We start from the raw sequence: 26,903 nt of genomic DNA, 5'->3' as shown, positions 1-26,903 counted from the left end.
ACACAGTAGGATACAGTAAGGCAACTATAGCATTTTCTCTATACTACCACTTCCTCGAGACACGTTTTACTAAAAAAAGGTTGGGAAATTAAACAATTTGGGAGAAAAGAAACTAAACATACAGATTTCTTTAGAACATGACTTTAATATGCTGTGTGTATTAAATTTCAAGGTAGACACTTTCAGTTGCAAAGTTTCCAAAATGTATTTGACTCACAAAAACTCTTATTGGTGAAACATCTCATAGGACAAGTTTTCATATTTTTGGAAAAACTAGTTAAACAGAAGATATCAAATAGATCTGATTTTGAATCCTTACTCTATTAGTCGTAAAATAAACTTTCGTAGCTTTTTTCCTCATCTCTAAAATCAGGATAATAATATTCATAACATATAATTATTGTCAGGAAATTGACAAAGTACATTAAATATTTAACACTGTGCTTGTTATTAAATAAATGTTATTTTCCTTATGTTTACTAGAGACTAGTAAATCCTCAGATTTTATTTTTATAAGTCCTAAGTGAACATGGTATGATGTATTTTGAAAGCTTTAGATTTTAGCCATGGATAGTTATAGAAATAATAAGTGTCCATAGTTTATATGAAACCAAACTATATTATTGATATATCCATATAAAGTTGTGGTTATTTATATGTACACATTTTGACATTCATTTTTATACAGATATAAATTAATGTTTTTATAAATACATGAATATAAACACAGAAGAGATTATATATACATACATGCACGTATTTTTGAACTCATGTTGTCTCTATCTCCATACTTTTAGCATTACACATTAGAGAATGAAAGACAGGAAGGAGAAAAGACACTGGTGACATATGTTTCGCACTGACACATTTGGCTAGCTCAGCTTCCTTCCACTCCCTATCTTATTGTCGTAGTACCTGTCCACAGGATGTTATCTGCCTCGCTGAATACTCATTTATTTTTAAATTGTATACATACAAATATGATTATTTGCTTAAATCAGGAAATGCAAAGTCAACATACAGAGACTATTAAATAGGACTTGTGGAGCTCAGAATTATTAGCAAAGCACCAATCTTAAGTATAAGATTATATAAAATGATGCAACTATTATATAATATTATATAAGTATATAATATTTTACAAGTACAAAATAAGGGAAAGAAAAATATTTTTAGTTATTATATTTAGACCACTGGTGTGAGTATCCTAGAAATATTCACACACTGAGTGCCAGGCACACACTAAGTAGCTTAAAATATAAGGATTTTTTTTGTGTTTGTTTTGTGTGCATGTTTTTTATTTCTTTTGAAGCTTTAGTCACATCAAGAGGAGTGTGAGAAAACTTTCAGAATTAGTAAATAAACCATTATTTTAAGAAACTGTTTGTCAAGAACAAGTAATAATAAACCTGGATAGTTCATGCTTTGACCTTCAGTAGGTTTTTACAATATGCATGATTTTACATTTTTTTCTCAGCAAGCAGAACTAATATTTCCTCGATTTTTTCCTGTGGCACTCCAAGCAAACATGGCAGTAGTTATGAGTAGTATAACTTCAGACTGTAAAAAGTTCAAACAATTTTTATTAGCCCAATTTTGTTTGCATTATTGGGCAGAACTACATATTACACACAGACATAATAAATCATGCATTTGTCTTTGCATCCCAAGTACTGCGGTAATACCTCTTTCTTTCTCTTTCCTCTTGCTTTTTATTGGCTAAAATATTTGAGTTCGATTATTTTGTGTTAGTTTGTTTCACTGACTTACTACTTCCTTAACTTCTATATTCATTTCAAATATACATTAAGTATTTATAGAATATGTTCCATGAGTAATCTGTAAGAAGTTTTACTTGGATATGAAATTAAAGATGTAATGAGATTAACATAAAGCATCAGGCTCTAAGCTCCAATTTAGAAGCAAAAATTATATCTTTTGTCGCTTCTAAAGAGGCATTCATACTGTTATATGCCTTTGTGGGAAAGTTTGTACTGCAGCATTTCTGACAACTGGTGGGCTAGGATAGTTAAGATCAGGTTGAATATCTTCACTTTTCATCAAGAAAGAAGCTGAAGCTCAGCCATTAAAAGTGAACTGTTAAAGATTTTATCAAAAGCAAACAGAATATAAACAACAATAAATTCTAAAAGGAAATTAAAAAAGGCTAAAACAGAGCAAACTTACAATTATGAAACAATGACACTGCCATACACAGATTAGACCTCTTGTGACTAGACAGGAATATGTGTGGGAAAGTTGGGGGCACTCACAGTGAGCATTTAGAATTTTAATTGCAGAAACTGGTTCCTCAGTTTTAGGAACGCAAACAGTCCCAGAGAGGCCCACTAGTCTCTGGATTTTTGAATCTACAGATGGCAAAGCAGTCAGCCTGAATCGGAACTGAAATATATTTGGAACCTTTTCCATAACCTCAATATAAAACAAAACAAATTTCAAATACTTGGGAAATTTATTTGACTTGCTTGTAATAATACCACTAAGGGAGAGACGGAAGAATAATAGAATGGAAAGAGAGTCATCACACACAGTCACCATTACCAAATCCCTGTATTTACCTGGTAGTATGTAGGCATTCTGCACTTCGTCCTCGTTTTGCTCTGGGCAGCATAAGAAGCTCACTGCACAGACAGGATGGGTGGTGAGTGAAACAGATAAATTATGAGACATGGGTTATGCCAATGGTATGCCAATGAAAACATGAAAAGGGAAGAAACCAGATTGTCTGCACTAGCATATTTGCTTGAGAGGTTAAACAAAAATAAACATAAAAGCATTTAAAAAATTTAAACAATAAAGTACAAATATTATGGTTGAAGTCCTAGCTGTTGCTGATTTGCCATTGTATTTCAAAATGATTTTATAGAATATTAAAACAAAACAAAATTAAATATTCCTCAAATAAGATATAGGACTCTGTTTCCAATTATAGACAACTGAGTATTTTTTTAATACTATAAATTTGGCCTGATACTAATGGGAATTCTGAACATTTTTATAACTTTATAACAAATTAAAGCGTGATAGTTTTCTTGGCTTTTATAGCCACTGAAAATGCAATACCATATTATGTTTCTTATTAACCAACTAACAATATAATTGATTAGAATTTTTATTTTACAATTAATACTTTATCTATATCCAAATTAATTTCACTATATTGACTGCCCTGGTCAAGTAGCCCTGTGTTTTCCCTCCTCACCTAAATTCATGGTGGCCCAAATGAATGTTGATAAAATAGCCCTCATTCAACTCAAGCTGAGATGTCTGGAATCCTATTCCTCAGAGCAGCTCTTCATCCTAGTACCTATTGTGACTCCATTCTTGAAGGTCACAACGCTACTTTCCACAGTAGGATGGCAATTAGGTAGGTTAAGAAGTTCTACTTTGTGTCCTTGACTCCATGGCGAAAAATTATTTAGCACCACTATCATGACCCTTCTCCTCACTGAAAGTTTCTCCATTTTAAAAAGCCAGAAGAGAATATTCAACAAGGTGGGTATTATAAAACCTTAAATCAGATCCTGAGCTTATAATCAGGCTAATTGTACAGGTATATGGTTACTTCAAGAAGAAAGTCTGTGGGCACGCAGAGCAACAGATTCATAATGTAGACTTATAGTAATTATTTCCGTGAAATATTAGTTCACAAATGCAGAATTAAATCTAAGCACATATCCCCATAAGAACCCATCTCAATAATTGTATTCTATAGACATTTTCTAGAAAGAGATTTTATGAAAAGAAGTATATAACAGAAACATTATTATTGAAGTTCTCATAGAAACTCTGCAATTAACTTTCAAATGGCATGTATCCACAATGTTTTAAATTATATAAATAACATAATTTTTATGATTACTTCATACCTCAAATATTGTGACCCACAATAAATAAAATATTTGAAAACTCCTTATGCAGACTCCCTTCTATAATTTAGGTCAATATCTAAGTCAACAAGCTGTACCTTTAAAGCTGTCTAAGCATAAATTCTGATTTTGTAAAAGAAATTGGATAATTATAACAATATAATATTAGCCAAATATTTCCTAGAGTTACATTTCTATTACAATATGTTAACAGTTGTTGCTTGAGAGCAGCTCATTTTTGAGTGATAAATACTTTTACTCTCTAATGTGCTATGCCACAATATCTGTATATATTAAAACAGAACAAAAAATTCATAACGTTGAGATCATAATTTTGACAAATACCTGTCTTGTTCTGATAAATACTGACTATCCACATCTCTGGTTCTATGATCAACTGGACTTCGGGAGGCATCATGGTGTCTGGTTGGAGAACGTGACCTTCTTGTTGGATGAATTTCATCTAAACTCCTAAAATGATTACAAAATTCTTATGTGTCAAATTGTATCATCTTCCCAAAACAGGCAGACAGACTAAAGTGAAGGAACTGAGAGTAATATGCAAATAAACACTGAAAAGTATTTGCATCATAATCAAAACCTACTTATCAATGAGTTAAGGGTATTTGTTTTCTATGAGTTTTTGCCTGTGGCTGCATTTCTCCAACCTTCTTTCATACTTCTATCAAAATCAATTTTTATCGGCATAATTAATTACAATTTCAGGAGTGTATATCAGAGTAAAATGAAGTAGAGCACTATATGTTTTATTTATGTTTCCAAGCATTTAAAGTGCTTCAAAGAGACAATCCTAAATCTCTTCAAAGTCCATTCTGTCTCTTAACCTTATCCTCTTCGCCACTTCTCTCCACAATTCTGATTTGTTACCATTTTTTTCTAACAAGAAAGAAAACTAGCAAAGAGAATACAAGACAATTATTCAAAAACTATTCCTGGGACATAAACAACTTCTGCTCCCTGGGAAATTTCTTCAGATTAAACAACAGACTGCCACATAGGTTGGATAAAGAATAAAAAAAATTTTGCCTACAATTAATTCTGAAAAAAATAATTTGACCAAACTATTTTTTCATTTCAGTTAGTTTTGCAGCAATTTACACTGCATTATAATAAAAATGTACTGTCAGGGACACTGAGCCCATTTCAAAGCCTACCTCTGTAATGGCACATTTGGTAAACGTGAACGCGGCTTTCCCTGATCATTGCCGCGATGAGGAGATACTGAACGTGAGCGGTGATGAGTTGTTCTTTGCTGTTCTGGCACAGTTAATGTTGTAGATTTACTTTCTCTAGCACTAGACCTATAGCCTACTGGCAAAAGTACACACAGAAAAAATTTAGTCAGTATTCTTCTATAATGCAAACATTAACACAGGAATATAAAATTATTCTAAAGCAGCCATTGATCTATGAAGAATAAATGTCATGCAATCGGTATTAATAGCCTTATCTTCAAAAATATTAAGTATACCTACACAGAGTGTAACATATACATGCATTGAAACAGGTTACAGTTTTGCTCAAAGGAACCATGGAGATAATAATATGAATATGACAGTTGATGCCTCAGACATTACGATGAGTTGGGATACTGTTTCAATTTAAATAATGAACGAGTTCGTGACTTAGCAACACAAATGAAGTGCTTGACATGAAACTATAGTTAATATACAAGTCAATGCTTAGAAGTTTGGAGTCTCTTTAAATTTAAATAAATTCTTCATTTCGATTTTTATTCTAGAGAATAAATTATTTTAGTTGGATTGCAGGTGGCCTCTTTAATAAGAAAACAAATATATTGTTCCAGTTTTAATTAACAAAGAAGAGTAGCAGATCTTCACCATTATACTCATTGTGAATTTTGCAAACCACAAATAATACTGCAATTTTCAAATGTAGTATATGACTGAAGATGACTATCACAATAATGTAGAGAAAATGCACCCTTCTGAAGAACCAATCGCCAAATCTGCCTTACACATCTGAAACTACTCCATAATTATTTTAATTAGCATAACTAAGATAATATAGTTAACATATTGCAATTTAAAATAAATTATAACAGTCACTTTTTCCCTGAAGTAAAAAGGTTTATATTGTCTGCGATTTAGTTAAGATAAGACAGTAATCTCAAAACCAAAAGAAGAGTTTAGAGTTTAAAATTTTTTCACAAGGGTAACTGTTTTTTATTATCATAAGGAAAATAAAAAAATTATGTGGCCAAAGTAAAAAAAAAAACTATATTTACAACTACATAAAACATACATAAACCATAAATATGTTAAATTTAACTGGGAAGCTAAAACTGTTGTTCATTTTTTACTTGACAACTCTCACATTATCTCAAAAATATGTTATGAAACATCATGATTAAAGGCAGGCTAATAGTCCCTAGCAGTTTATATATTGTGAATCCATGATCTTATGCCGAATTTTAAGGGACTTCAAACATTTCATTAAGTGTACTTTGACAATATTCAGACTAAAGAAATACAAACATTTTGTCACTCTATAAAAACATGTTTAATATTCATAAATGGTATAATTTATAATTTGAAATACTTTAATTTTTTCTTATCAAAATATCAACTAAGCTATTGAGTTTTGTATAAAAAGTCTGTTATTCAGATGTAATATTATATTGTAATTTTAAGACTAGAAATTATAATATTAAGGCTAGAAAGAGACCAACTAAGTTAACATGTAGTGAATACACTATTAATACATAGCTCATTGTAAAAAAAAAAGGGTGACTATTTATAAAGACAATTAATCCATAGTCTGAATTACTTAAACATTTTTAATTGCTATCTGGTATCAATTACACAATAATTATGGAAGGCCAATATTGACTTATGAGCCCTATTTCGAGATTTAAGTGAGTATTCAAGGTATATAAATAGATTTTGTATAATTAATTATTACAGAATAAATTTTAGAGAATTTTGGCATCTTGCTGTAAAAGGTATATAATTGTTTCCTGGATTCTTTGTGGTTATATAGAAATTAATGCCTCTTTTATCCTTTTAAGAAGGGACTTTAAGGAAACAAGTGAAATCTTGAAACTTTTAACATATTAACAACTTTTAATGTAACTTAGAAAGTTCTGAATTCAAAAAGTATACTGACGGCAATGTGTACTATTTTGGTGACTCAAAGTCATTTTGAATATAACATATGCTATAATATTCAAAGTTTTAACATTTGACTCTATAGTGAATGACCTTAAATAAATATACATTTATAGTTCTTTGCATTTTACAAAGAAAAAGTTCTTTGCTTTTTACATTTATAGTTGCTTTTTACAAAAAATTTGATTTTCTTCACATTATGTTTACGTTATTGTTGACAACATGCACTCTATCTTCAGAACCATGACTGGGATTAAATTTTTTTTTTTTTTTTTTTTTTCAGATGGAGTCTCGCTCTGTCACCCAGGCTGGATGACCTTGGCTCACTGCAACCTCTGCCTCTCGTGTTGAAGTGATTCTCCTGCCTCAGCCTCCTGAATAGATAGGATTACAGGCGTGCGCCACCAGGCCCAGCTAATTTTTGTACTTTTAGTAGAGATGAAATTTCACCACATTGGGCAGGCTGGTCTCGAACTCCTGACTTTGTGATCTGCCCACCTTGGCCTCCCAAAGTGCTGGGATTACAGGCGTGAGCCACCGTGCCCGGCTGGGATGAAACTATTTTATGGTAATCCCAGTGTTTTAGTTGACTCAGGGTTAGAGATTAGAGAATTTTTTTCTCATTTTCTGGTTGAAGTTGCTAGATTCCTCACCTCAGATGAGGGCATTCTGTATATGGTTATTTTTATTCTTCTTAACTAGCTAAAATTATTTACTTTAAATAACAATAAGGCTATAACTACAAAGTTAATAAAATGTGGCTCTGGCAGTCTCAACTGCTGAAAACCTGCTACATTTCCCTAACTGGAAAAAGATAGTAAACACATCAAATAAAAACAGAGAATTTCGTGTTCTAGAAAAGCCAAGGCATTAGGAAGTTTAAGTTTTGGCTGTAGTAGAACATTTTGTACAGAGCTTTTGAGCTTCTCTAGATAATAAACAACCAGGAACTTCCTTGAGTACATTAAACATATATAGAAGACGACTTCCATATCTAAACAAATTTTTTCTTCATATTGGATGCTAGGAAACGTAGACGCAAATTTGTAACCAACATCTAAAAGTACATAAGAATGCACTGTGCTAACTTATCACCTCACTTTATTTTAGCTTCTTGCCCTTATTTTACTGACTCATTTTTCCTCTTCATTTAAAATGTATTGCATGTTACTATGTGACTAGTTATATTTGCCATACAAATACTACCACATAATTACAATGGATCAATGAAGAGTATATCTGAAAATATTAATGAATTACATGCTCTCCTTTAATTTATGAGGAGATCTTTGAAACATAAAATATTACTTATCAGTTTTATAAGTTACTAGTCATATTCTATTAAAGTTTGACTCATTACATTTTTAAATGCTAAATAAAAATGAACAATATTATTTGAAAAATATTGCTTTGTATGATAACAGAGATTATGCATGTTTGCAAACACTTTGAGGGACATGGTATATTTCAGTATGGAATATAAGTATATTTAGAATTCAGTGCTCCTTGGTGGTACTCAAGCACTAATCCCATCTCTAGTGGATTCCATAACTCACTTTGACTTCTCACAAGGCGTTATCCATGTTGCTCTCTCAGAGAAAGAGGAAGAAACTCATCATTTGTGCAAGCATTTATTTAATTGGCCATTTATTTATTCATCATTTACTTCCCTGTCTCATAACTAAAAATATGAAATTTCAGGTGAATGAAATTTGGGAACCACTCACCGAAGCAAATTCTATTTAGATAAATTGGTAATGACAACATTAAGGCTGACTAATAGTTAAGATTCCTGTTAGAGGTGATGATTTTTCTACCAGGTATAATCTAATTCCTATTTGAATATCCCAAATGAATTTAAATTTATAATCACTTTACTCTTTGAATTTCATGACAAACTAATATGATGTTACATTTTGTGTGAACCTTTCTGTTGAGAATGTGTGTAATTACTATGGCCTTCTAAGAAATAAAAACAGAGAGCAAAAGTGAATTTCTCTCCAGTATGATCTAAATCTCTCACTGATACACTGACATCAAAGGTTAATATATAAGTATATAGATTTTCACAGCACTAGATTTATAATAATAAATTTAACAATATTTTCTACTTTCACACAGTGATTAAATACTACATTTTTGGCCAGGCATGGTGGCTCACACCTGTAATCCCAGCACTTTGGGAGGCCGAGGTGGGCGGATCATGAGGTCAAGAGAACAAGACCATCCTGGCCAACACGGTGAAATCCAGTCTCTACTAAAAATATAAAAATTAGCTGTACATGGTGGTGCACACCTGTAGTCCCAGCTACTCAGGAGGCTGAGGCAGGAGAATCACTCGAACCTGGGAGGTGGAGGGTGCAGTGAGCTGAGATTGTGCCACTGTACTCCAGCCTAGCAGCAGAGTGAGACTCCGTCTCAAATAAATAAATAAATAAATAAATACCATATATTCTCTGAATTATAGGGAACAAATGAAACCTGATTTTAGAGAACTCTCCATAATTTTCTCCCAGTTTTAATAGTTGTATGCATCTCTCCAAACTGTGAAGTTAGTATCGTAGAATCTACCAATTTGAGCAAAACCATTGCCCTCAAATTAAGTACACTGCCATCTGAGAAATTATGTAAATAAAGGGCATATATATCAAGGGCATATATATATATACTGTCTTTAAAAACTGCCTTTAAAATTCATATTTATACATTTTAAGACTGTCTCTTTCATTTCTTCTTATTTGCATATTTACTTCTCCTCTCATTAGTAAATTTTTAAAAAGTATAGAATTAGTGCCAAGAAAGTAAGTCTTTACCACTTGATTTTACACTTTTCTGACAGAAGTCAGATGAGAAACATTTAAACCCTACAACATCACAAAAGTTTTACTAACTTACACAATGACAAAGAGATGTTCACTTCAAATTAATACTTAATCTTTCTTAAACATATTATTGTATTAAAACATATACACACATTCTAGGTATAATCAGTGGGAACACATCACAAAAGCTTTAAAAGTTACAGCCATGCCACATGCAATTTTAAACCCCGCCATGCACCTTTCTCAGTATATTCCATGGAGGGCTACATTATTTTCAGAAATGGTGGAAGGAAAATCATAGAAATGCAAATATAAAACACAGAAAAATGGAATTTTTATTTAATAACCCCATCTTTTCAAAATAAAATTCGTATTTTCACTTACGCTCAGAGCATTGTGAAATAATGATTTGTTTCACTAGTTAGACATGTTTCTACGGAAGAACCTCACTATGGGAATGCTAATTAGTAGAGACTAGTCCATTTAAAACTTTCTTAATAATTTGAAATGTAAGTCACCATGGAATAATATAATACTGATTTCTCTGTGCTATAAATCTTCAGTTTAGTATCCTAAAGAGGTCCGGAAGCTGACAGAGAAAACAAGCAAAGCAGCACAGTGAAGCAGGGTCATGCTCCTCACCCACGCACCTGGAGGAACTACGCCAATACCATCATCAACCTCATAATCTGAGATGTCACTATCACTGATTCGCTGAGATCCTGCACAACAGTAAGGCAAAGAGATACTTCTGTGTCTGGTTGGTTTATGAAACGTAAAGAGCACTGTCAAACTTTTTTTAAAAAGTGAATTGCATTATTACTGAAAACTTATGAAGACTAATACAGTAAACACTGAGCTAATTTTAAAAGAAATGTTTGTTCTCTAAGGATAACATTTTATCAGTATTTTTTTCCTCATTACACCAAAGACATATAGAAACAAGGGGACTTCACAGAATAAGATTTTCAGATTAATTCTTTAATTAAAATATTATACTAAAAGCCTTCAGCACAGTATATACAGTACATTGTTTTCTACACAATTAAGTGCTTTCCTCTGCAGTTCAGAGAGAATAGGGCTGAGTGGAAAGGTTCAGAGACATTTCTTGGCTGGAGCTCTATTCAGCCTATATTAATGAAAAAACATCAGGGCCCTTTATAAAATATTTATGTTTAGCTCCCCAAATTAGTCATTATACTTCATTAAACATTAACTTTGAGGAAATTACTGATCAGGGAAGCATCAACATGAAATATTTAATTATGTGAGAAAAATAATTTAGTTCCAGATTACCAAAATGAGGCTTCTTTCAGCTGTTAACTTAGAAATGTAGTTATGACACAAAAATTACTCAATAAGTACAGAAAAAAATAGCTTTTCCCAATCACTAGATGAATAGCAATAAACATACCTTCTAATATTTTAAACAACATTTCTTATGAATAACTATTAAAATATCTATGAACTGGCTGGGCATGGTGGCTCACACCTGTAATCCCAGCACTTTGGGAGGCCGAGCCGGATGGATCACAAGGTCAGGAGTTCAAGATCAGGCTGGCCAAAATGGTGAAACCCCATCTCTACTAAATATACAAAAATAAATTAGCCAGGCATGGTGGCGCACTTCTGTAATCCTAGCTACTCCAGTGGCTGAGGCAGGAGAATTGCTTAAACCCGGGAGGTGCAGGTTGCAGTGAGCCGAGATCACGCCAATGCACTCCAGCCTGGGCAACAGAGTGAGACTCTCTCTCGGTGGGGGGAGAAAAAATCTTTGAACTATAAAGTTATTAAGACTTCACAGGTGGCAACTCACCAGTGATGACAGAAATTATTCCATCAGTCAATAACCAACAGCTCAATTGGCCCTGTGCAAGAATTTTAATTCAGAGGTTTTTGGCTTGCAGCTCTGCAATTACTCTGCTATGCTATCTACATTATTTTCATTGTGAAAATGTAGAAACAGTTTTGCCAAGTTGCTTCATAAAGATGAACAATTTTCCAGTATTTTGATCTCTAATAAAACATTTAAAAAAAACATCTTGAATTATTAATCACTAATTAGATCATTACAGCATAATTACTTTGTGGCAACTAAAAGGACCTTAACCTACTTTGTAGCTTTTTGCTAGAGCTTTCTCCATGAATATGTCGCCTTGGCATGAAAGGTGATGGCTGAGGCAGAGGTAGTGAAGACTCATCATGTGTCTGAAGTTTATACCAATGCGGTTCATCATCTAAAAGCGCTGTCTCCAATTCTATGAGGATCTGAGAGGGTAATTCTCAAATTAAATCAAGTACCTTTATCAAAACATAATGTAATAGTAATCATAATAAATATCACAAAACTTTATTAACTATTTGACTTGAGTTTTTAAAATATACATCACCTCTCCAAGAAATTCACTTTCTTCTTCTTGCACTCTTGGTTGGTCCCACACAGTTATTTCTAACATTCGTTCTCTAAAATCTCTACGATGTACATGTGAATAGACAAAAGTTTGATTCCATTTTGGTTCTAGTATTTTCTTTACTGTTTTGGTCCTCCTTTTACTTTTATCACTGAAAAATAAGTATGTTTTGTAAATGAAAAAGCAAGTACATGCTGCCATCTACTGTAGTTACATGTAAAACTGCCATTGATATTTATATTATTTTAACTAATAACTCATGGAAAGTCTATAAAAAGATAATAGAGTTTAATAATATTCTAACTTCAGTTACAATATAAGCAGTATTGTAATTATAGGGACACATACAAAGGTACATTCTAAATGATGTGTCGCTATCAAAGACTAATATACCTATAAACAAGGTAATAGATTTTTTTAATTGACAGATTATTTTCAAATATTTCCAACACAATTTCCAACACTTGAGGGACTTCTTTTTTCAGAGATAATGTACTTTTATCTCCTCAGAATTATCTATTATATTTTTTAAAAACATCCCAAAAGAGAAAATTCTACCTTTTCTATTAGTACAGATTTTAAGATTTTTTTTTTCTAAAATTATTCACTACCTTCTATCTGGAAGAAAATACATTTTTACATAGGGATTTCGAGGACGTCCATCTACTCTAGCAGGTAGATCTGTTGCTTGCAGAACATTTACAATCAGCTGGTGTCCCACTTTATCATACCACAACTTCACCTAGGAGCAATGAGGAAAGGAATTATTTGTAAAAATCATGAGGCATTACAATTTTACATAAAACAAAATTCAAGTTATATTTAAATGAGGAAATTTTGAATTACAATATAATGCAATTACAGATATTTCTAAAAACACACCAATTTGAAAGCATAAACACACAGAACTTTACTTTTCTCTTTGAGTACTTTAAACATAACCTACAACTGGCAGGCCTTCAGTGTTACTGTATATTCTCACATATCATTTTATAAAATAAAACTAATAATAATTTTTCCAAAAAACTAAGGGAAGAGGGAGACATAAAATCATTATTATTGTTCTTAAATGTTAAAAATAAGAGTTTGAAGATTATATGTGTCTAAATTATTATAGCGTGACTAAATGCTTTCTCTGGTGTCACAGGTAGTTAAAATTAAAAAAAACAAGAGTTTGGATATTAGGAATAAGAAATACAAAGAATTAGAAGAGATCATAAAACATATTTACTGTGGGCCTATTTTATACAGGCACCGTTTAGTATTTCCTGGTATTTTTTCTCACTTATTTTTTTATTTTTTAGAGACATGGTCTCACTCTGTCACAGGCTGGAATGCAGTGGCATGATCATAGCTCACTGCAGCCTCAAACTGCTGGAACCAACAATTCTCCCAGTTCAGCCTCCCAGGTAGATGGAACCACAGGTGTACATCATCATGTCTGGCCAGTTTTTTAAATTTTTTGTGGAATCGGGGGTCTTGCTATGTTGCCAGGCTAGTCTTGAACTCTTCAGTCTCTCAAAGTGCTGGGATTAAAGGTGTGAGCCACTGCACCAAGCCGTCATTTAATTTTTAGAATTAAACTATTACAGGTTATTTTTCATGAGAGAAGGAGGAAAAAACTAAGGATACAATACACAAATGACATCTTCAAACTACAAGAAGGCCAAATGATATTTCTATTAACCAAGATTTCATGACAGTAGACCAAAGAATAATGGGGAAGTAACGTACTAAAATCCTATTGTCAAACTCACAAGAATTGGAATTTTATCAGTCATTATTACAGTATCTGCCCTGGCAGTGGTGATGACACTTTAACAATGTTAACTTTAATTTTTTTCCTTTAATTTAGAAGTTACTTTTCATTTTATGTTTAAGTAAGCATATGCTGTTAATAGGTATATGTTAGAACATATTTGAGAGTCATTAAAACAAAATAAACTAATTTAACATAGGATTAGCTTTTCATGGTAAGGAACAGATTAAGAATTCAAACCTGGATCTGTGTAAATCCATTTCTCTGATTCCCAATTGATACCTAAGATGGGGTTTCACAGAACCAGAATGGGTTTCCATCCTCTTTCAAAATATGTGGAGAATATGAGAGATTTACACATACACTGAAGAAAAAGATGGCCGGCAGATAAACCCAAAGGGTATTACAAAGATATTCAATATACTAAAAATAAAAGTTAAAACCATAAAAGCCCTTGAGCAATAAGCTTACATATATCTTCTCTGTCTCATTAAAATCAAGAGAAAACCACAAAGGCAAACCACAGAAATCCACACATTATCAGAGGAGCAAAAGGTCATTATTTGTGTAACAATTTGAAACAAATAGTTTGAAGTCCTTAAATTATAATATCAACATCACATTTTCCATCATAATCTACAAATATATGGTTCTTCATTATCCTTAACCCTAGTTTCTTCACTCCAGGTTTCCCCAGATCACATAATAAGGCAATAGTGAGAAAATGGTAGCTTTTTCAGAGAGCTTTCAGTGGCAACGAAGAGTTTTGCCAAATGCCTTAGGAAGTTAAAAAGAATATTCCAAATTTAGGCTCTTCAGGCTCTAGGCTCATAAGGTTATTACATAAATGGGGTATGAACTCCTAATATTATGTGTAAACAATTATTTACCTTAGAAACTTTTACATAGCACACAAAAAATATGAACTCTTTATTTACTTATGTTACCATTCATCAATTAATGTTCAGAGTATCTGGCACACTGCAAGCACTCAGTAAGTATTTCTGAATAAATATGTGAATAAAGGAATAATAAAAAATGCATGAAAAACTAATGAAGTAGATTATGGTGTTAAATGACTATGTATTTATTGCAGGCTTCAAGGAAAGGCGAACATATTTAAAGACAGACTCAGACAGTGTATGCAAATACTAACAGCCTCCAACATGTACAAAAAATACATACAGAAAGTTGCCCTGGTAAGACTTGTGGGGCATCTTTTAGAGCTCCAGGACTTGTTGGAGAAATAACAGAAATGGAAGGCCTTTCCATCTTCTGAGATTCAAAGGAACTTGAACCTAAAATGAGAAAAAAAAGTAAGTAATATTTGTAAGTGTAGGAAATATTTTTAATAAAATGTTAAATGCATCCTTTATTTGTATAAAACCATAATTACTATCACTGATAACAGAACCTACTTTTAATGGGATAGATTGTCTTTAGTTGTCTATTTAAAAAATATTAAGAATGATATAACGAAGTATTATGCTTATTTCAACTGGAAAGAATTGATCTACATTTCTGGAGTGCATGGTATTGCACAGGCTCTTGCATGACTTCACATATGGGTAAAGGTCTGCTTCAGAGATAAGGAAGATAGTGCCTGTTAACACTAATTATCTTGGCTAATGGATCATCTATTATAAACTGTCCTTACTGAGAAATTAAAATGAATGCATACATAATATAATTTATAAGCCACATCTAAGCCAAGACTTTGCCACTGTTTTAAAATCAGATATACCATCTATCTTAGGTTTTTTTTTTTTTTTTTTTTGAGACAGAGTTTCGCTCTTGTTGCCCAGGCTGGAGTGCAATGGCATGATCTTGGCTCACCGCAACCTCCACCTCGCAGGTTCAAGCAATTCTTCTGCCTCAGCCTCCTGAGTAGCTGGGATTACAGGCATGCACCAACACGTCCGGCTAATTTTGTATTTTTAGTAGAGACGGGGTTTCTCCATGTTGAGGCTGGTCTCGAACTCCTGACCTCAGGTGATCCGCCCACCTCGGCCTCCCCATCTATCTTAGTTTTGATCTTATAAATGAGTATCCTGAACCTCTGAAAATGCTGCTTCAAGTAATTCACCACTAGTGATTTGTTTCAACTTCACATGGAGGAGGCTGGGTCTCCTCTCAGCCACTTGGTGGAGTTCTTCACTGTTCCAAGTATACCCTGACACAGAGAGCAATACAGAGTGTTTATAGAAGGCTATTGATCCAGCAAGTACAACCTTGAACTCACCACCATTCAAACTTAGCCAATGCTTCATTGAGAAATACTGTTTATGAAGCATTGCCTGAGTATGTGCAATCCGCACATTTTTTTCTATAAGTACAAATTAATTCTCATGTCATCCTTTTGTGCCCTCCGAAAACATTTAGTGATAAAAAACAGCTATATAAAATTGTTACTATGTGTCTTTTCCCAGGTATATTTAAAATACATTTTCCTTAAGTCTCAGAACAGGAACACTGTTATTTCTAATAATGCTTGTTTGTAATATTATGGCAATCAGTGTATTTTTTAATCATATCAATAATATAAATTATGCAATTAGTCCCACTTCCCTCTTTGTATTGGTCACCAGAAAGCTCAAAGCCAAAACTGGGTCCACCTCTAGCAGAACATGATGGTATGCATTTTATATGATAACCTAGTGTCTGTTTCCTTGTTTATCCTACTTTCATATTTTCTTCTCCCTTCTAATCACTATCACTGGTTTTCCCCTAAATCACCTTTTATTTTCTATTTCTTTAACTTGGGTTCTGTAAGAACACCTGGGGAATCAAGCCCAAGTATTAACTTAATTCCCATCCATTGCAAAGTAAATATTTGGGTCACTTCTGCATTATCATTGAAAACTTAATTGTCTATATTTTATTGCACACAATATCATCTTCTGTCATACAGAAACGACTTAAATTCCCATATAGATAATTCTTTCAACCCTCTGGTTTCACAATCTCTTGACCTATTATGTTTAATGAAGTTTACTCCACCCATTCACTTCCAAAATCAATCCACACACTTTGTTATTCAGTAATACAATTATTTGTTAAAGTGTCTACCTAGTTTCTTCACTAGGCTGCTCTTGAGACTGAGCTGCTTAGCAATCAAACTGAATAATCCAGTATCACAATAAATGTTAATGTAACTAGAACTATTCCTGATATATTAAGCTCTGTAAGGGTCCTGACTGTTATGATGCTGAAGAGTATTCCCAGTAAAGATTTTTTTTTTAATCACATAAAAAAGTAGAGGAAGAAAAATCCTGAAGTAGGACTTCTTTGGATTTCCAGTTATTGCCATCATTGCCAACATCTAGTACCAATGGAGACATCTTTAGTATAGTAACCCCAATTCATTATATCAAATAACTAAAGAAAATTAGAAATCTTTACTTTCAATTAGTTCAATACTTTTATAATAACAAAGAAACCTTATACTCACTGGACTCCAGTGGAGGGTGGGAGCTCTCAGGAATCCGGGGAATGTCACTAAAAGAAACAGGATATGGTGAAAATCCCATTAGTTAAATGACCCTGCCTGAGGCAATCATAGCCCATTATACGTGATGTGAAAAATCCTGCTGGGTCTTTACAGGTGTGGAAATGAATAGGAGTTACTATTAAGGCAACTACTAATGTGCATGAATGTCAAACACCACACAAAAAAAACTGCAATAAAAAAGTTTTTACATATTTAAGAGCAAAACTTTAACATGACAACAATCAGACTAATATTGTGGTTAAAATCACCACAATATTTTTACTACCAAAACAGCAGGTTTTGGAAATAAAAAATGTTAAAGGTAATACTTTCCTTCAATTATAGGAAATCAAAATGACACAAATTTTACACATCAGTAATATGCTTTACAAACACATCTGAAAGAGTTTACCAAGTGAAAGGGATGGGAACATCTCAATAATAAAATGATGTGGTGAATATCATGGGCAAAGTTAAATGAAAAGGATGAGTTGCTTTGGAAAGTAAAAATGGTTCAAGCTTGCAACAAAAAAGCCAAATTATTTTATATATGTGAATATATAATATATATACACATATATACCCTTTATAGAGATTCATATCTCTATACTGAAGTTAGCTAAATATATGACTATTTACCATATGGTTAGAAAGTGACTTGTGAGACCACCCATTCCTGCCACACTGACAAATTACTCTGAAGAAATATATGTACTATAATCTCAACTTAATCCATTACCCACTATGACCTTAAGAACCCTAGATCACCTTGGTTTAGGTATTATACTGCATAGGACTATTTTACTTCTCATTTTCCAAAGACGTTTTAATATCAATTTAAGATTAACAATATGCAAATATTAACATGACATATTAAAGCAGACTGGAGTTAGCTAGTCCCAACAAAATTATAAGCATATTTTTTAAGAATTTCTAACCACCTACCTTATGAGCTGACTTCACTTTTTCTTTTCACTTTTGGGGGGAATGAAAACAAAAAGAGTTTTCCCTGTTTGTTCTCTGCAGTTGTCATTTTGACTATTTTGTGCAAAGTAATTCTCATAACCAACTATAATTTATACTTCCTAAAAATGACAATCTGGCCTATGCTGTGTATTTTATAAATTTTATTATATATTTTTGTATGACTATACATTTATATAAAATCATTTGAATGAATTAAAAGACTAATTTACAATACCCAAAACACAGAAAAAACTATATATTCTGCTACTTTCTTCTAAATTAATGCAAGCAAATAAAATTAAATTGTAAAAAAATCCAGGAACAATTTTTAGATAGTATGACTTCTTAAAAAATCAGCCTCATAGTCCATTATGAAATCAGAATTTGAAGTTCTAAAGCCAGGTACAAACTTTGGAATTTACATGCCTGTGAAAAAAGAATGGTGGCAAAGTTGTTGAAAATATGTTAAAGTGACTTTTAGTTAAAATTTATTTATGTTAATTGCTTCAGCAATATTTTCAGGCATAAATTTCCACTGGATGTTTACATATCCAGTGGAATTCTTTATTAGTTCTATTTACCAGTTAGGTAGTAGAGTAGTTTTAATAACAATTAAAAGCATAAAGGTCAAGGATATTGTATTTGGTGGGTTCACAAAAAAAGTCAATACCTCAAGATGGCTGATGCCTCTTAGTGTGTACTGATCAATGTGCTTGTAAGTTATATTTAGAATGATTCCTGAAATCACTATGCCACTACATTATGAATAAATATTTTCTTTTTCCTTTAATTATAGTTGTTAAACAGGACTACATTAAATATTATTATTAAAACATAGCTTTCCAGCCTGGGTAACAGAACAAGACCATGTCTTTAAAAAAAAAAAAAGCAGCTAAAATTATTTTTCTAGGATTCCAATAATGTATTCACTAGAAAGAAAGTTGATACTACCTTTGATTCTGATTCAATTATAATCTTTGTATTCCATGTCCTTTGAATTCTATAATCTTTAAATTATAATTTTTGTATTCCATGTTCCTTTCAATTCTATAATCTATAATAGTTTAGAATTTGGCTGTGCAGATGATTACTTCTTAATTAATTTTCATAAAAAGTAAAAATAATGTTATTCCAGTCTACTTTAATTGTCTGTTACTTTTTTAAGTCACCATGAATCAATTCTGTTTTTGCTGTTTACTTTTAAACCACTATATATTTGAAAGTATTTGGCAAGTGCACAATGCTTGATTCTAAACTTTAGCTTTCATACTTTTGATTCATTTTCCAATTTACTTACCTCTTTTCCAGCCTTATATTTACCTCAGCACTAGAACATATGTCATGTAAAACTAGCATAAATTGTAGTATTGTTATTTTAAAAATCTACATGGAAATGTACAACACTTTTGCAAATGTCTTCAGTGTTCACTCTTAATAATAACCAGTTAAAATTGGTTAAAAGCTTGCCTTTATTTTAGAGTTTTATATATTAATATTATTTGATATATGATCATACATTTTCATTCTTTGAGAATTATGATAATTATATCTTCTTGTATGTTTTGCATTGACATATATTCATGAGGCCGATACAAATTAAAGGTTAGCATTTTTTCAACATAAAAAGCCTTGAAATAATGGCTGTATTAAATTTTGGAGAATAGGGAAAAAAAGAATCATTTCCAAGAACACATTCAAACATTAAGCCAAGTATAATAAAACAGTTCAAAATGCCCTTAAAAATTATAGACTGGCAAAATGAATATTTATTTTGGACCATGTGGGTTTGCCAGAAAAAGGCAACGATATGGGGAAATCTATATACATACATAGAAAATATCCCACTGGCTATAGATAATTAAATTGTACTGAAAATTGAGGTTTTAAAAATATCATTATGACCAATTAAAATGTTAAAATATTTAATACTTCTTGCTTGATTTTAAATAAAAGTTGAAATTACTCATGGTTAAAGAGACAGAAAAAATATTTTATTCTTTCGTAGAATAATAAAAAGTTCATGTAGACATATGAAATCATTAATATTTTAAATATCACAAGAAGAGGAGTTTGTTAGTGCCTCTCTTAAAGGAAATACTACTTATTAAATTAGAATTACTTAAATATATCTGCCATTAAAAGAAAATATTTTACTTTATATTTCACTTGCAAAAAGTACATATTGATATTTTTTGATATTACAATTGTTAAAGTGTGGAGCTTCTAAAATGTAGTGAAGTAAACTCAGTATTCCAGTTAAAAAATTAAGAAATTTTTAGTAATCTAAAAATGTATGCCCATAATTGATGCAAAAACTATCCATGTTAACATGTACTGTATGAATGTATAAAATTCTTTTTAAAACCCTACTAATACATGTAATTTACTAAACTTAAGAAGTAAGTTTTTTTAGCCTTACCCAATAGGCCTTGAAACAATAATTTCAACTTGAGGTTCTGATTTTGATTCTAAAATAATGTTGTAAACTTCTTCATTTGTAGCTCCCGGCAGGGGTTTACCATTCCATTCTAGAACTTCATCCCCTTGAATTTAAAAAAAAGGGTATTTTTTTACCTTATATATTCTGTTTATTTTTCGTATCTTTTCTCTTTTTTAACAAAGAAATGCAAAACATATACAAATAGTTTAATTGTCTAGGCTCTGCTTTCAAAAGCAAATTGATTGCCATATAATGTCAGCTAAATGGTTCTTCTAAACACTTTTTCTTTTCTTTTGTTTTTCTTTTTTTCCCCCAGAATATTACTGGTGACTGGAAACAGTACAATACAAAACTACCTTTATCTTTTGAGATATACCAGAAATCATATAAAAATAATCTCATGCTATGGGATGGAATTAGCACAGCCTATTTGGAAACATTAAAAAATAATAATTAGCAGCATGCCCTCCATATAATAAATGTAGGCGGCTCTATTTTTGAAAGATTCTTATTAAACTGTGCATAAATCCTGTTTTATTTTTGGAAGAAAGAGCAATTAATATTTGTTAGCATGAATTTCCCAATTACAAGTCATGCTTCAGTGTCTTCACCAGATGCACAACAGAATAAAAATGCATGAAAGGATTTGAATTCACACCCATCAGTTAACGCAGGTAGCTATGGCAAAATTACAAAGCAAGCAGATGTAAAACTGTTGCATGACAGTCAACCCACTTCCAGATGTTCAAAACACATATGTACTATACATAATCTATATTGTGAACATTAAAGTACAATTAGAACACACTTTAAAATAACCAAACATTAATACAGTACATAGTTGTTAAATATTCTAAGATTAATCAAGGGGAGTTAAAAGATGTTGCATTAAAAAAATACAGGCTAACAACTTACAGTTGTTATTTTAACTAGGGTTTTCACACCATAGGTCACGTGAAAAAAAGTATTTATTTTCATAAATATTTAAGAAGTTGTAGGTACCAAACGGTTCTCTGCCTTAGACTCTTCACTTCAAAATGGTAGTCTCAGCTGAAATATTTCAACCTCGATGCACTGAGGTGTCTTAATTTGTTGATGCTCATGCTTATTTTGTTGTTCTCAGTGTCTAGAACATTTTATGAGCAAAGTAAATTTGTGTTGAAATACTGGATCAATATCATCAGTATACATTTTATAGCCAAGTATAAGCATAAAATCTTTTCAATGTATACCTAGAATTTTTTAAATAAAAGTAGGAAAATTGCTTTGCTAGTATTACTTTAAAGTAATTATTTTTTCCAATTGTTTGCTCACTGAAGAGTAAAAAGTAAATATGCAAAAAGTACATGATGCTGCTTTGGTTTGGTAAAATACTATGGTAATCACCAATTCTTTTTTTTGAGATGGAGTTTCACTCCTGTTGCCCAGGCTAGAGTGCAGTGGCGCAATCTCGGCTCACTGCAACCTCCGCCTCCCAGGTTCAAGCGATCCTCCTGCCTCAGCCTCCTGAGTAGCTAGGATTACAAGCATGCACCACCACGCCCAGCTAATTTTTGTATTTTTAGTAGAGACGGGGTTTCACCATGTTGGCCAGGCTGGCCAGGTCTCCTGAACTCCTAAACTCAGGTGATGCACCCACCTCAGCCTCCCAAAGTGCTGGGATTACAGGTGTGAGTCACCGTGCCCGGCCACCAATTCTAATAGACTGCCCTAAGCTGTTACCTAGAAAAGCTTTTCAAATAGGCAATGAATATACTTCACTGTAAAAAAAAAAAAAAAAAAAAAAGAAAAAAGAAATATAATAATTACAAATTTATAATATATTAAGAGTGCTTTCAAAATATTTTGACCAAGAAACAAAGTTGACATCATGATCCTGTACACATATAATATGAACATGTATATATGTGCGTGTGTATATATATTCATATTATATGAGTACATACATATATATATACACTAAAAAACATTTATGAAACAATACTTACCCTGATTTTTCTATTCTATTATGTTCTACTTCAATTTTTTAAAGTGGTAGATGCAAACGATTAAATTGATTTTACTACCCAATAATGAGCTGCAACCAGCAGTTTGCAAAAGCACTGCATTTTAAAACTCTCCTTTTTATAAGCGGCAACCTGGACGCATAACTTTTAATATCAAATTAAGTTAATACATACGTTTATTTACAGATTAATAATTCCTAAACCATAATGCTTTTTTTACATTATTTATGTATGGATAATCAAGCAGGGATGTAGACAATGAGGGTACAAAGATGAAAATGACATTTTATCTGTCTTTAAATTTGGTCATGAAGAAATGATAAAGAAACAACTCTAATAAAATATTTTATATGCAACAATAGAAGTTCATTTGAGGACCAGAAATAGAGTCAAGTGGTGCCAGGGACATAGTAGTTAGTTATTGTTCCAGGTGAGATATTAGGAACCACTTCAGAATTAAGGCAACTTCAGATGAATTGTGAAGGATGGAAAGGCCTTCAACAGGAGTGGTAGAAAACTAGGTAGACAAGAGGCATTGACCACATCTTCTAGGTGGGAAACAGCCTGACAGGAACCTACAGGTGGACCAACATCCTGGACAGCTGAAAGTGTTAGTAGAGGACAAGGCTACAGAGCTTTGACTTGAACAAATGATAACTAGGAAACACCGAAGGATCTTCATAATAAACAGAGTGTCAGTGTCATTTTTGTGTTTTAGAAGGTTAAATGAAGTAGCAGTAGAGTGCACAGACTTAAAGCGGGGCAGGACTGGATAAAGATATTGCAAGATTAAAACAAGATTGCAAATGTTAAATAAAAGTCACATTGATTGCACCGTAGTTTTATAGGCTAAGGATGTTTATATGCAAATAATTCTATTTGCATAAATGCAAATATTTAGTCAGTTCCTAAATTATAATGTAAATCAAATAGGATATATGATTGAGTCTGCAAAATCACTTCACTTTCTTCGAATACATAAATTGCTTAGAATGAAAAGTACACTTGTCTGTTTTATAGTTCTTTAAGTTGAGCTTTTAACATTTCAGATTTAAGTTTCTCAGGCTCTTGGCTCATAAGGGTGTTAAATGAAATGAATCACTAACAGATATTTTATATAGAACACCCCTCTTCTTTTACTTCCTAAGTAACTTCCTATTAAAACATAATAATGTGTTTATAATGTGTATATAATGTTTATAATGTGGTCTGCAAACTCAGGTTTCTGTAGTTAAAGTTATTTTACATTAGCCAACAAGGGATTCTCAGACTTTCTGAGGCTTATTTTTGAGTCATTAGACAAACACACACTCAGTTTACTGACAGAGTCAACCCTGATTGAGTTATTTTCCTACTGAATCATAACTGGTCCTTCATAAGAAATAACAGTGTAACATATCTCTATACATATTCAAAGTTGTATAGCAAATGGAGAAAAATCCGATTAGAGTTTTCTTCCTATACACCTGCACAGCAAGTCCTTGTCAAATTAAAAAAAAAATGAAAATGATTTTGAACTGATATCCTGGTAAACAAATATACTGAAAAGTCTTTAAGAGTCCTAGAATATTTTGCCAAAGTTTTCAAGAATCACAAACTTAAGGTTTAAAAGTTAAGAATATCACCTGGAAATGTACTCTTTGTGTTATGGGTTATTAATCTTTAATTCTACAGCTCAGCCAACTCTGTTTCCTTTATAGTTGTCTGGCAAATACATAAACAGCCATCTAACCAAAAGATTTCTACTAAGCTCTGCAGTCAAGTCAACTGGAAGAAATATTTTAATGTGATTTTAACAAAAATGAAAAGCAAACAATTTACCAAAAATGGATTTTAAAATGTGTTACTATTTAATATATGATACATTTACATATATTAAATAATTTCATTGTGTCATGTTCAGTTATAGGGCAACAAAAATAAATTTCTAAATACCAAGAATTAGCACATCTACATGAGTCACTTTTAAATTTACTAATATTTTATTATACAATCTGTATAAGAAATGTGATTATGATTATGCTTTATAAAAAACACTGCCCCTGAATAAGTGTTTTAGGACCACTCTGAAAAAAATTTGGTAATTACTGTAGCTTAAAATATAAACTAAATAACTAAATAGTGATATAAGATTTTTTTCTCAAAGATAAATTGTTTTAGATTTCAAGTTTTGTAGCATTATGACATCATCTACAAAGATGAGTAATTCTTCTATATTTTACATCTATTTATTTTTATAAAAAGAAGATTCCTACCCTTACTCTCCAGATTGCTGCTGATGTAGAGTTACTTATTATTGCAATTGGTAAATATTTATATCAGGAAATAAGTCTTTATTCGTGCATTAAAATTTAGTGACTTAATTGATATATACATACATACATGTATGTATGTATGTATATATAAAACTAACCCCAAATTGAAAACCACCAATTCATGTTCATGCATGGAGAACACACTGTTTAAATATTAAAAAAAGAAACTTTACCTGCTCTTAGGTGTCCAACTACATCTGCTAGGCTACCCTTCTTTACTTTGGTGATGAAAGCACCAAGTCGTCCTAAGTCAGTCATTTTTCCTCCAACAACCTGGATAATTACAAATTTATAAGTTTCCAAGACTCATACTAAAACATAAGCTTATTAGTTTGAGGAATTAATCCTACATTCTTTTATGATACACTTGAAATTGCATGTAGAAACATTAATGAAGTGAAGCACTTTTTTTTTTTTTTTGAGATGGGATCTTGCTCTGTCACCCAGGATGGAATGCAGTGGCATGATCACAGCTCACTGCAGCCTCGACCTCCCAGGCTCAAGTGATCCTTTAACTTTGGCCTACCAAGTAGCCTAGACCACAGGCATACACCACCACGCCCAGCTAATTTTTAAAATTATTTGTAGAGACAAGGTCTTGCCATGTTGCCCAGACTGATCTTGAACTCCCGGGCTCAAGCAGTCCTCCTGCCTCGGCCTCCCAAAGTGTTGAGATTACAGGTGTGAGCCACCAGGGCTTCACCTACATTTTTGATTAAAGTAGCTGGGAGCACAGTTTTGAAAACAAAACATCTCATATTTGAGATGACTATGTGTCCTAAGGAAGTTTGTGTACTGATTTCTTTCTTTCTCTTTTCTTTCTTTCCCTTCCTCCCTCCCTCCCTTCCTTCCTTCCTTTTTTTTTTCTCTCTCTCTCTCTTTCTATTTTTGAGACAAGGCCTCACTCTGTCACCCACAGAGGAGTGTGTTGATGTGATCATAGATGGCTGCAGCCGTGAACTCCCAGGCTCAAGTGTTGCTCCCACCTCAGGCTCCCAAATAGCTGGGACTACAGGCATGTGCAGACACTACAGTCAGATAATTTTTTAATTTTAATTTTGTAGAGAAGGGGTCTCGCTATGTTGACCAGGCTGGTTCCTAACTCCTGGGCTCAAGTGACCCTCTCACCTTTGCCTTCCAAAGTGTTGAGATTAAAGGCATGAGCCACTGCACCCAGGCTGTAGTGATTTCTTAAAAGCAAGCTTGTCCAACCCGCTGTCAGTGGGCCACAAGTGGCCCAGGATGACTTTGAATGTGGCCCAATAGAAATTTGTTAACTTCCTTAAAACATTGCTTTTTTTTTTTTTTTTTTAGCTCATCAGCTATTGTTAGTGTTGATGTACTTTAAGTGTGACCCAAGACAATTTTTCTTCTTCCAATGTTGCTCAGGGAAGCTAAAAGATTAAATAGCCCTGTCTTAAAGTGACCTAACAATAAAAGGGCACCATAAATAATGCATATACATAGAAGACAGGTGCCAGGTCTTCCCTACTTAGTATCAAACAGCAAGTGTTTGACACTGTTTACATTAAAATTCATTTTTCTTTATCATCCAAATTCATGTGTACCAGTTGAATTATTATTTCTACATGAAGATAATATCCCATTGTCAAGATCAGTTCTTGATCAGATCTTAATCTCTTTTGTATATG

The 26,903-nt window shown here is 32.4% G+C and overlaps 1 protein-coding gene across 89 annotated transcripts in view; it reads right to left on the bottom strand.

The window, feature by feature from the left end:
- Positions 1 to 26,903, bottom strand: part of RIMS1 (regulating synaptic membrane exocytosis 1) — a 516,596-nt gene that overhangs the window by 139,799 nt on the left and 349,894 nt on the right. For 38 of the 89 annotated variants that reach the window (NM_014989.7, XM_017010517.3, XM_047418419.1 and 35 more), the window contains 11 exons: positions 25,425 to 25,524; positions 20,910 to 21,033; positions 17,486 to 17,532; positions 15,220 to 15,332; positions 12,887 to 13,017; positions 12,255 to 12,426; positions 11,979 to 12,132; positions 10,515 to 10,586; positions 5,066 to 5,222; positions 4,236 to 4,361; positions 2,580 to 2,642 (listed from right to left, as the gene is read on the bottom strand). In NM_014989.7, coding sequence (NP_055804.2) covers positions 2,580 to 2,642; positions 4,236 to 4,361; positions 5,066 to 5,222; positions 10,515 to 10,586; positions 11,979 to 12,132; positions 12,255 to 12,426; positions 12,887 to 13,017; positions 15,220 to 15,332; positions 17,486 to 17,532; positions 20,910 to 21,033; positions 25,425 to 25,524 — 1,259 coding nt within the window. The remainder of the gene's footprint in view (positions 1 to 2,579; positions 2,643 to 4,235; positions 4,362 to 5,065; positions 5,223 to 10,514; positions 10,587 to 11,978; positions 12,133 to 12,254; positions 12,427 to 12,886; positions 13,018 to 15,219; positions 15,333 to 17,485; positions 17,533 to 20,909; positions 21,034 to 25,424; positions 25,525 to 26,903) is intronic. The other 51 variants (XM_024446369.2, XM_017010518.3, XM_011535604.4 and 48 more) reach the window with 4 other exon arrangements.

The sequence above is a fragment of the Homo sapiens genome, chromosome 6 (genome assembly GCF_000001405.40).
Source record: "Homo sapiens chromosome 6, GRCh38.p14 Primary Assembly".
NCBI lineage: Eukaryota > Metazoa > Chordata > Mammalia > Primates > Hominidae > Homo > Homo sapiens.
The sequence above is the reverse complement of the archived record's forward strand: the minus strand, read 5'-3'. Positions and strand labels throughout refer to the sequence as shown.